The sequence below is a fragment of the Homo sapiens genome, assembly GCF_000001405.40.
Source record: "Homo sapiens chromosome 16 unlocalized genomic scaffold, GRCh38.p14 Primary Assembly HSCHR16_RANDOM_CTG1".
Lineage (NCBI taxonomy): Eukaryota > Metazoa > Chordata > Mammalia > Primates > Hominidae > Homo > Homo sapiens.
This window is the reverse complement of record NT_187383.1, coordinates 392,620-405,631: the sequence shown is the minus strand read 5'-3', so window position 1 is coordinate 405,631 and position 13,012 is coordinate 392,620. Positions and strand designations below refer to the sequence as shown.

The following is a 13,012-nucleotide window of genomic DNA, read 5'->3' as shown; positions in this document are numbered from 1 at the left end:
TTCTGGTATCTGTCTGTGGTACTGCAGGTTCCCTGGTGCTGCATCATCTCTGACCTCTCCTTTATTCCCAGTGGCTCCCATGCATCCAAAGTATGCCAGTTGGGCGTCAAGTTAGAGAGAGTGAGAGAGCTTCAGGTAACCTCATAAAACTATTCCGTTTCAGTCTTCTCTTTCCCTGCTAACGGAGAAGCTGCAAGTTGAGTGCTTCCCAGCCAAACCAACCTGTTTGAGCTTGGGGAAGGGGTATCATCAGTATAATGCAACAGCTTTTCTTATCTGTTCAATGCCACTATTCTTGGCTTTGCACTTGTCTGTACTACTACAACTTCTTAATGGTTTATGGAACTCCATAAAGGCTTTTAGACCATATATTGTTTTTCAGTTGGTATCTTTATGGAGAATCAAGGTTTGGAGCTTCCCATTCCACCATCTGGCTGACATCACTCTGTTTATATTATTTTTTATTTTTATTATATTTTATTTTCTTGAGACAGGATCTTGCTCTGTCAGCCAGGCTAGAGTGCAGCCTCGAACTCCTGATCTCAAGGGACCTCCTCCCTCAGGCTACTGAGTACTTGGACTATAGGCACACACCACATACCAGGCTAATTTCTTATTTTCTTGTGAAGATGGGGTTTCACTCTGTTGCCCAAGTTGGTCTCAACTCTTGGGCTCAAGCAATCCTTCTGCCTTGGCCTCCCAAAGTGCTAGGATTAAAGGTGTGAGCCCACCATGTACTGCCTGTTATATTTAGTAGAAAATATATCTAAAAATATACTTACGTACTATATTGAATCCACTACCCAGAGCTTAACTGAACTATTTGTGTGACTCATTCTGTTTTTTTATTTTTTGCTTTTTACTTATTACAATGAACTACAAGTATGGATATATTAATATTAATTAATATAAAATATACTGGAATATTTTGTATTTTTTTTTCTTTTTTCTTCAACAAAAGCAGAAACTTAAATACACTGAAATCTTAAATGACCCTTGAATGTTTCTAGGACTGACCCTGGAACAAAATTTTTTATGTTGTTATTACATTGTTCTTTTCATGTTAAAATCATTTGTTTTTTTTCATATAGTGCGTCAAAGAAGAATTGTTAATATAGCCCTTACCAGCCATATGCTAAGTGCCACAGGTGTTTCGGTCTCTCTCCATTCTTGTACCTCACTTAGTCTTTTTTTTTTTTCTTTTGGAGGTGTAGCCTCAGTCTTTCACCCAGTCTGGAGTGTGGTGGCACGATCTCAGCTCACTGCAACCTCTGCCTCCCGGGTTCAAGTGATTCTCCTCCCTCAGCCTCCTGAGTACCTGGGACCACAGTTGTGTGCCACCATGCCGACCTAATTTTTGTATTTTTAGTAGAGATGGGGTTTCATTATGTTGGCCAGGCTGGTCTTGAACTCCTGACCTCATGTAATCCACCCTCCTCAGCCTCCCAAAGCGCTGGGATTACAGACATGAACCACTGCGCCTGGACTACCTCAATCTGTCTTTTAAATTGGCTATGTAAGGGGAGCATCTTGTGCTTGTTAAGTCTTTGTTTTCTGGCCTATTTATATAATGAACATTTCTGAGTTGTGTGTATATATTAAATTATTTGAGAGTATATAGTTAATGTACTAAATAGATCTATGTGTTTTCATACATGTCACTATAAAAAGACCATTTGCACATATTTGTTCTATCAAATGCTTACTTTTCTTCATGAACCACCTAGATTTGCTTTTCTGATGTGTAGTGTATGTGAAAATATTTCTTTGTGAATTTTTTTTTTATTGTGTGCCCCTGCAGGTGGTATGCTTAATAATGCCATAGTCTCTATAAGGAACGTATGCATTAGTCTGCTGGCAGGAATTGTTTTGGGATTTTTTGTTCGATATTTTCCAAGTGAAGACCAAGTAAATACAAAATCTATTTTATAGAAGTATAGTATTAGACATTTTTTTCAAAATATTAAACTTTGGTAAGATCCATGAAATTTAATACTTAACTCTATTTTTCTAAAACTAGCCTCCAATGCCTACTCTGTATTTAAAACTGAGCACAGCAGTGATTGATACAGGTCAATGGCTTTGATTAAAGTCTCTGCTTCCTGATTTGGCAAATAAGGAATGTCAAAAAATATACTTGATGCAGAGTATCCCTCTGAATTATACTTTCCCTTTCTCTACTAAATTGCCTATTGATGTTTGATAATTTCCCCTTAAACATTTTAGGGGGAGATAGGTTCCCATTTATTTCTGCATATTTTCTGACTGAAATTCACTCCTGCTATCCTTTGACAAAGGCAACACTCAAACTTAGCCATTTCCTGCCTTAAAGGAAAACATGACATTACTTTTGTATTTCTGTAATTTCCATCCAAATTTAGCTGTAGCATATTGACCAAAGAGTAATTCAAATATTTTTTAAGAATTCATTGGATATGTTATATGAAACTGGAGATTTTATGGGTCTCTTTTCTTCTTCACTTAAAGTAATACTTAAACCATTTTACTGATACTAGTATCAGAGATGTGGCAGAAGATGAAACGTTACTAATTGGAAATTTTGTTACTTGGTAGTAAGTCTACTAAAATGTATGGTGAGAAAGAAAATCAAAATTTTAGACATTTAATATAACATTTAAAGACATAATATCAAAAGGTCAAACATATATAATAGATAATGTCAAATCTTGTATTATATATTTAATATAAACTAATTTCTAAATATCTATCTAATTCTAGAAAAAACTTACATTGAAGAGAGGATTCCTTGTTTTGACTACGTGTGTTTCTGCTGTCTTAGGCAGCCAACGTATTGGTTTACATGGATCTGGAGGATTATGCACACTAGTGTTGAGTTTCATTGCAGGGGCAAAATGGTCCCAAGAAAAGGTGAATATTTTTAATATGCTATATTTTAAAAGCTAAGACAACTGAATTTTTTACATATATTTAGGAAATCCCCTCATTCTGGTTGGAAAATATTCCAAAAGATTTGCTATCCTCAAGAAAGTGTATGAATCAATTGAGGAAATAAAATATTTAGGAAAAGCAGCTGGATATATACTAATATGGAATCAGAAGTTGAGTTAATCACATCAGGTTTCTCTTTTTCCCAAGTTTTATATAATATTATTATATTACTTATATCAATCTAATTATTTTATTCATTGAAATTTTAATTATACAATTAATCCATGAAGAATGTTTGTAAAAGGCCAGGCACGGTGGCTCATGCCTGTAATCCCAGAACTTTGGGAGGTCGAGGTGGACAGATCACCTGGGGTCAGGAGTTTGAGACCAGCGTGGCCAACATAGTGAAACCCCATCTCTACTAAAAATACAAAAATTAGCTGGGCATGGTGGCGTGGTGGTGGGCACCTATAATTCCAGCTACTCAGGAGGCTGAGGCAGGAGAATTGCTTGAACCCAGGAGGCGGAGGCTGCAGTGAGCTGAGATCATGCCATTGCACTCCAGCCTGGGCAACAAGTGCAAAACTCCATCACACACACACAAAATAATAATAAACAAACAAATAATAAAAATAGAAATGCTTGTAAAAGAATAAAACATATAGAATAAAATGTAAAAGATTTCTTTATTCCCCACCACTGTCAAATATCGAACCCCTTTACATTTTTTTAAGTAACCAGTATTCTATTTGTAGACATTAAGATCGTTTCCACTTTTTGTTATTTACAAACAGTGCTGTCATAAACAGTGTTGTTCATGTCTTTTTTTTTTTTGAGACAGTTTCACTCTTGTCACCCAGGCTGGAGTGCAGTAGCATAACCTTGGCTCACTGCAACCTCCACCTCCTGGATTCAAGTGATTCTTCTTTTTCAGCCTCCCTAGTAGCTGGGATTACAGGCGCGCACCACCACGCCCAGCAAATTTTTGTATTTTTAGTAGAGACGGGATTTCACCATGTTGGCCAGGCAGGTCTTGAACTCCTGACCTCAGGTGATACTCCTGCCTCGGCCTCCCAAAGTGTTGGGATTACAGGTACATCTGTAGGAATAGAGTCCTAGAAATGATTTTTTTTTTTTGAGACAGAGTCTCTATCTATGTTGCCCAGGCTGGTCTCAAAATCCTGAGCTCAAGGGATCCTCCCAACTTGACAATGCAAAGTGCTAGGATTACAAGCATGAGCTACCACACCTGGCTGGAAATGATCTGTGTTTTATTTTGATGGACACTGCTAAATTATCCCTTCAAAAATTTTGGTTATTTACACTCTGCCAACAGTGCACAACAATATCTAATACCTTAACTCATCAACAGCACTTGATATTATCACTAGTTCTATTCTTTTTACTATTAAATGACCTCACCATCCAATTCTTATAGTTTCTAACAATTATGTGATGTTGTTATTCTTTATTTACATTTCTCTGATTAGTAGTATAGTAAGCTTCTCTTCATATATTCTTTTTAAAATACCTATGATCTTCTTTGACCATTTTTATTGGGTTATTTATTTTTTTGTTTCTAATTTATAGTTTCTCTTAGTGTTAGGGCTACTGATCCTTTGTTATGTATATATTGCATATAATTTTGCTTGTTTATGGTGTCTGGTGTATGAAAGTAAAATTTCCTACGACCAAACCTATTGGGTTTTCCTTTTTTGATTTTGGATTCTGCATCTCATTTAAGAAGGACTCTCTCACTGAAGATTATAACATATAAACATTACAAAGATATACTATTTTGTGTATTATCATTTAATATTTTGGTAGTTTTTGTTTGTTTAATTTGTTCTTTCATTTAGTCTTTTATTCTATCTGGAATTTATCTTTGTGAATTTTGTGAGGTAAGGTTATACATATATACATATGTGTATCTTACAAACTATATATATATACACACACACACATACAGTTTGTAAGTTAACTGAACAGAGATAGAACTACATCATGCCTGATGTGTGTGTGTATATATATATGTATATATATATATACACACACACATAAATATACATACATATTCAGACACACATATATACTTGCATGTGATGAATATGTACATACGTATATATGCACATAAACTAGACAGTCATTTTTTGCCAAATTATTTATTGACCAATTCATTAATAATTCAGTTTTTTAACATGAACTAAATTCTCCCATATATATTAATTCTGAAGTCTATTTAATCCTACTTCTCTATTTCTATGCCAACACCACTGTTTTAAATCACTGCACTTTTATGTGTCAAAATCTAATATAGATTTTACTTCTTTTTAAAGTATTTTTTGGCTGTTCCTACACATATTCTTTCTTAGATAAATTTTAGAATCAGCTTGAGAAATTCCCTAATCAAAAATCATAGTGGCATTTTGCTTAGTATTCTTATATAATCATAATTATAAAAGAAATGAATGAAATGCAAATCAATAAATAAAATTAAAACTGCTAGAATTTTTTTAAATGGTAAAAGACACAGAACTAAAACAAGTTTTAAAGATTAAAAGTAACAAACAGGATAATTATGCTGTAAAGAGTAGTAACATCGTTTTTCTTTGTTTTTCTTTTTTTAAACTATAATAAGTGGGGATCAGAAAACACAGTCATAAGGGAAATAGTTATAAAGATAGTTTATGCCTCAAGGAAGAGACATCAAAGTTCTTATGTATCTTCTGTTTAAAAAAAAAATTAAACCCAGACTGAGACTGAAATCTCTTCATCCAAATTCCTGGAGAAGAGCCAGAGTAATGTAGGCCAATAGGGGGCCTTTCCTGTAACCTTTTAATTGGGGAAGTAGTACTGGGAGGCATTCGTTTTCAGAAAGGGAAGCCGGATAGGCAGCTAAATGAGAATCTAATATATGTTTTCTTTTGTTTTGAGGAAAAAGTAACTTTAAAGTATTCAACACGGGTTCTTTGGAAGCAGGCCTAGTAGACTTCCAAATTGTTTTTCCTAGTAGTATATGCTATATATATCAGGATTCACTTTAATGGGATTGAGTTCCAGGATGGTTGTTAGTGGAAGGCTTCCCAACCTCCTTCTGAGATCCCAAATGTTTGCATGAACTGGGTATGTTCTCATCAGGCATGATGTAGTTCTATCTCTGTTCAGTTAACTTAGAGACAAAATCTAGAACTCATACGAAACATGGCTAGAACCCTAAGGACATCACTTATTCTGTGACAAAATGGCCAAATAGTATTATTTTATTGCTTTGTAAGTTTCTTTTAATCAAATTCTACCTAAGTGTTTAAGTAAAACTATTGAAGTGCTCAGTTTTTATTAATTAAGTTTAACATTTTTATTAAAATAAAGTGTATTAAATTTATTAAATGTTAAGTGACTTTAGGCCAGGCATGGTGGCTCATGCCTATAATGCCAGTGCTTTGGGAGGCCACAGCCAGAGTCCACTTGAAGACAGGAGTTCTAGACCATCCTGGGCAATATAGCGAGACCCCGTCTCTATAAACAATTTAAAAATTAGCCCAGCATGGAGGTACACACCTGTAGTTCTACTTGGGAGACTGCGAGAGGATCACTTGAGCCCAGGAGTTCAAGGCTACAGTGAGCTAAGATTATGCCACTACACTCCAGCCTGGGCAACAGAACAAGACCCCATCTCTAAAATACTTAAAAAGTGAAAAAAAAAAAGGTGAGGGAGAACTTAACTTTCTGAAATATATTTATGTGCCAAAATAATTATAAATGTATTTCTCTTTTCTATAGATGAAAGTCCAAAAGATTATTACAAATGTATGGGATATTTTTCAACCACTTCTTTTTGGTTTAGTTGGAGCAGAAGTATCTGTTTCATCGCTTGAATCAAATATTGTTGGTAAGAATAAATAGAGCACAAAAAATATGAAATTCAAAAATATTTAAGAAAATTATAAATGCATTTATTTTTATTTACAATATATCTTTGAATGGCTACAAGGACCTTCTTCAGAAACACATGTTGATACAGTGTCATATTTTCATATTGCTCTTCCTTTACACTGTGTGCTCTTTCTTTTTTAAACCAGGAACAGCCCTGAATATCTTCCCTGAGTTATCTAAGGAAATAAATATAAGATTTCTTTCCTGAGGGAACATATTTGATACGATCAGCACTTTTTGAGTACTTTCATTTAAAACTATTGGCTGGGTATGGTGGCTCATGCCTGTAAACTTAGCACTTTGGGGGGCCGAAGCGGGCACACTTCTTGAAGTTAGGAGTTCAAGACCTGCCTGGCTAACATGGGGAACCCCATCTCTCCTAGAAATACAAAAATTAGCCAGGTGTGGTAGTGCGCGCCTATAATCCCAGCTACTCAGGAGGCTGAGGCAGGAGAATCACGTGAACCCGGGAGTCGGAAGTTGCAGTGAGCTGAGATTGTACCACTGCACTCCAGCCTGGGCGACAGAGCAAGAATCCTTCTCAAAAAGTAAATTATTATTAATAATAATAAAAGTATTCAAAAAAAGTCTATTAGTTCAGAATTGTATAAATGTCATCTGTCTTATTTTTCATGGAACCTCCACCATCAGATACTGTCTTGCACTTTACAGAGAATCCTCCATCATATTCATTTTTTATTATCATTATTTTATGTAAAAATTAAACACATGAAGAGACAATAGCCTTAAAATGCTTTCGAAAGTTTTAGAAATCATATTCCTGGGCATAAAGAACACTTCTTCACAAATATTTTGTTATTTATGTTTGTTTTCATCTGTTGTAGGCATATCTGTTGCCACTCTTGAGTTTGGCATTATGTGTTCGAATTTTAACCACATATCTATTGATGTGCTTTGCTGGTTTTAGTTTTAAGGAGAAAATATTTATTGCTTTAGCATGGATGCCCAAAGCTACAGTACAGGTAAGAACATATTAAGCCTATTGCTTAATGCTTTTGTTTTGATGCTTTTAAAATTTAAAATGAAAAATGTTACTCCAATCACAAAATATGAGCTATTGTCCTTACTTTTTAAATGTTTGATTGATCATAACTATTCATTAAAATTAACGTAACCAGTCCCAGCTACTCAGGAGGCTGAGATGGGAGAATCACTTGAACCCAGGAGGCGGAGGTTGCAGTAAGCTGAGATGGCACCACTGTACTCCAGTCTGGGTGACAGAGCAAGATTCAATCTCAAAAAAATAAATAAATAAACAAAAACAAACAAAGAAACTCAATGTAACCTTTTTCTATTTTTATTTTTATTTTCATTTTGAGACCAGGTCTCACTCTGTCACCCAAACTGTAGTGCAGTGGCATGATCACGGCTCACTGCAGCCTCAACCTCCTGGGCTCAAACAATCCTCTCACATCAGCCTCCTGAGTAGCTAGGATCACAGTCACCTGCCACCATACCCAACTGCTTTTTTTCAGATTTTTTTTTTTTTTTGAGACAGTCTTACTCTGTTGCCCAGGCTGGAGTGCAGTGGCATGATCTCAGCTCAATGCAACCTCCACCTCCCAGGTTCAAGCGATTCTCCTGCCTCAGCCTCCTCAGTAGCTGGGATTACAGGTGCACACCACCACACCCAGCTAATTTTTGTATTTTTAGTAGATATGGGGTCTCATCATGTTGGCCAGGCTAGTCTCAAACTCCTGACCTCAAGTGATCTGCCCACCTCAGCCTCCCAAAGTGCTGGGATTACAGGCATGAGCCACTGCACCTGGCCTTTTCTTTCTGATTTTTTTGTAAAGAGGAGGTCTTGCTATGTTGCCCAGGCTGATCTTGAACTCCTAGGTTCAAGTGATCTTCCTGCCTCAGCCTCCTAAAGTTCTGGGATTACAAGCATAACCCACTGGGCCCAGCCAATGTAACCTTTTGAAATCTCAGTTTTAAAAGCAATTATTTTGAAATCAAAAAGTATTCTTTCAATAAGTACTTCCTAAGTTTATGAAAATATGTTTTTTATTTTCCTAAAATATATAATAAGAATATATCTGAAAATTGGAGTTTTTATATTTTGCTGAATATAACAAAGCTAAATGTTATGATTTTAAAAAGTAGAGACACAGGCCAGGCATGGTGGCTCATGCCTGTAATCCTAGCACTTCGGGAGGCTGAGGCAGGCAGATCACTTGAGCTCAGGAGTTCAAGACCAGCCTGGGCAACATGGTAAAACCCCCGTCTCTACAAAAAATACAAAAAAATTAGTCAGGTGTGGTGGCACGCACCTGTAGTCACAGCTACTTGGGGGCTGAGGAAGGAGGATTGCTTGAACTCAGGAGGTTGAGGCTGCAGTGAGCTGAGGTCACGCCATTTCACTCCAGCTTGGGTGACAAAGTGAGACCCTGTCACAAAAAAAAGTAAAGTAAAATAGAGACACATTGATTTTTTTAAAAAATACTTTTCCTACCTTGCCACTCACTCCATCACACAAATGCACATATATTTTTTTAATTACACATTTATTTGTATACTATTTGGTTAATGGCTAAATCCCTGCCCCCGCCCCCTTGATAGACTACGTAAGGACAGGGACAGTGTCTGGTTGTTGCCGTTGTTTTTCATTATTTCTCCCTGGCACTTAACACAGTGCCTGACATGCAGGAGGCAAATACGTATTGCATGCCTGCAAGGATGAATGAACGGAAAGGGAAACCTTGTAATTTTGCCCTGTTATTCAAGGATATTCTCCTCCTACTAAAATATATTGCTACTTCTTGTTAGACTGTTTAACTTGGCAGCATAATATACCTTAATTTCCTGTGACTCTTTTCTTAGTTGTTATTCCAAAACAGAAGCTCCTAAATTTTCATGCAAAAAAACCTCTATTATCATGTTAGAAAAGCAGGTTCATAGGGCCAGACTACCTGTTTTGAATACCATGTTACTTGCCTATAACCTCAGGAAAATTATTTTCTAGTCTCTCAGTCCTTCAGTGTTCTCATCTTACAATGAAGTCTATGACTGTATCTGTTTCTTAGCAGTGTTGTCAGGATTCAATGAGATAATCCATGTAAAGTGCTTAGCACTCTCTCTGGCATATGGTGGTGCTCAGTTAAAAAACAATGCTGTTATTTTATCTTACCTTCAAGAAATATAAATAATAACTTTTTATTTTTAATGTCTACTCTAGGGAATAATAAATCTGCAAAAGGAGTATCTGTTCTCTCTCCTTCCAACAATACTCTTGCAATTTTGTTTCATTATTTCATAATTTTCATAAAGCAGGGAAAAAAGAAAAGCTGGTATGAGGAAAGAGACCACTCACTCGAGTCCTGCAGTATTATTCTGCTTCTGCCTATTCCTGTCTGCTGGCTCCAGGCTAGCTTCTACAAAAAGAATATCAGGCTGGTTCCAGGAACTGGCAAGACATAAAAAATTAATTATTTATACAAGTAGAGTCACAACAGCAATAATAGATAACAATAATGTCACAAGTAAATACGATCAACAAATATTTAAATTTCAATTTTAAATTATTTTCACCTTTATCCTCTTCCGCCGTTCTCTGCTGCTAAAATAAAATTGGCTAAGGATCATCTTTCTCTTGTTCCTTAGTTTTGAGTTACTGATAAAAATTAGACTGGAAAAATAGAAGCTATTAGGAGAGTAAATAAATAATTTAATTTACAAATGTAAGATCAGCTTGGCAATTGGATTTTTTTAAAGAAATAATATTAAATCTCAGTCACTAGGAGGAAATCATTTATCATCTAATAAAAGTCCTCACATAATAAGGTTGTCATAAGAATTAAATGAATTGATAAATGGAAAGCTTTAAGAATGATACCTGACATATGATGAATGCCATATAACTATAAAAATATTATTTCTAGTTTCACCATTATCGTCATCATCTCTTAAAAGTCAATGGGTTTGGTTTTTGTTTTTGTTTTTTCTGTTGGCAGTTCTTTTATGTTCAAATCCTCTTCTAAACTGTAAGATTCTTTCAAGGTGGTTTTCTGCATGATTATTTTTTTCTCCCTAGCATCCTCCAGCATACTGGATCATGTTCAGTACATTGAAAGTTATGATATAAAAATAATACCATTTTAAATTATTGATTTAGGATATAGAAATTGATCTTAAATTGAGGGGTTCTTTTGCCATAATGTTCCATATCAGAGGTAATGTTTCTACTATTATGTTGTTACTTTGCAACTCCATCGAAAATATGTTATATATTGGTATTTAATTCCCCCAAATTTTAAGGCAATTTCATGCCTAGTTATTAAACACAAGGAAAGAGAGTTAGCAAGAAATTTGCTTTATGTTATTAAAAATAATGTGGTAGAAGGTAACTAGGGAAAAAAACCTGTGACCCAGTAGAGTCATTCTAAAACAAAAACTTCAAAGGAACTCAATCTCTGACCTGGCAGGGGATGAGGAGTGAAGGAGAAAGAAACTTACTACTATCTGAATACCTACTCTGTGCCAGGTATTCTTCACATCCTAATATTTAATTTTCACAACCGTCCAGTAAGATAAGTATTTTGTTCTTCGTTTTACACGTAAGTAAGTAGAAGGTTAGAGAGTGTGAGTCATTTGTACAAGGTCACTAGCCTGGTTGAAGCAAAAATAGAATTCAAACCCAGTTTGCTAGATTCCAAGCCTGCTGTCAGTTCTGCTATAACCCAGTGCCCCCTGAATAAGGACAACAATGAGAAGAAGGGCAACAAATCCTAGAGAACCAGAAGAAAACTTAATATTTTATTTTGTCTTCTTGTAGTCAAAATCCACTGGTACACGATAAAGGCAACTAAGCAAAACCAGTTTCGTTAGAACTCCTGGTGTTATGAGGGCAACACTCAAAAGAGATATTTGAATAGAGGAACACTGAGAGGACAAGAGTGCAAAATCAGCCGAAAAATGTTTGCATGCTGATTTGTCACTATTGTACTCTTCCTCCACATATATTTGCTAGGAAGAACATGGAACTGATGAGTAACTTATGAAAATTACTGAGTACTTTTTTTTTCTAATAGTCTAGTACTAGATTTTGTTTATTTTAACAGAGCCATTTACATTATATATTAACTCAGTTTAATATTTTTCTTTATGCCCCATTTTTACCCCTAAATGTAGGCTGTGTTAGGTCCTCTGGCTCTAGAAACAGCAACAGTCTCCGCACCCCACTTGGAACCATATGCAAAGGATGTGATGACAGTAGCATTTTTAGCCATCTTGATCACAGCTCCAAATGGAGCTCTACTTATGGGCATTCTGGGGCTTAAAATGCTCACACGCCATTATGATCCAAGCAAAATAATACTGCAATTGCCAGCATTAGAACATCATTAAAAAGTTTACCTGTCATCATCTGCCTACTTCTTTTAATGAATTATTTCACATGACAGAAGAATTTTAAAGTAGAAATATGTAGAAAATCCAGGATTTCGGTACAGGGCTTTTCTTGGACTTTTTACTCCAAAGTTAATTTAATAAAAATAATATTAAATGGAATGCTGTCTTGGTATTTACATACTGTAAGAACAAATTAAATCTGTAAATACCCTAGGAAAGTTTAAAGTAATCCCTCAGGCTGAATTTGATATCATAATGCAAACTGAGCTTAATATAAAATTAAACAAACTTAACGGCAGAAAGAAAAACTGAATGTTGAACTTGGTAAGATAGCCTAAGTTTCCAAATAGGAGGAGTAGAACTCCCTATGATATCCAGTAATTCAGTTAAAAAGATCACTACAAAAAGAAAAAAAAGGGAGTAAAACACATCAACTTTAAATGGGTTAACCGAATAGATTTTAAATTCTGGTTTTGTTGACTACCTGAATAAATAATATGTTAAGTAATAGAACCAAGTTAGTCTTTCCTTATTTCTGCCATGCCCTTAAAATGAAAGTCTGGTTTAGCGGTTTTTAGTTGAAACACTATCTATATTTTTATTTATAGAAATAAAATTAAATCACAAATGGAAGTAAACTATATTTTTTTCAATTAGTATTTTAAAATCTAGACATAAAAGGCAGCCTCCAAAAATGAAAGACTTGGAGACTACTGTCATGTGGCAGTTTCTTCTCCTTAGTAATATAAAATTACCTTTTAATTCTGGCTGATTAAATCTGCCATGTTAATGTAGAACC

The 13,012-nt window shown here is 35.3% G+C and overlaps 1 pseudogene; it reads left to right on the top strand.

Annotated features, from left to right (window-relative positions):
* LOC102723945 (sodium/hydrogen exchanger 9B1-like) overlaps positions 1 to 12,210 on the top strand; it is a 278,678-nt pseudogene extending 266,468 nt beyond the window's left edge.
* The last annotated feature ends 802 nt before the right edge of the window (positions 12,211 to 13,012 follow it).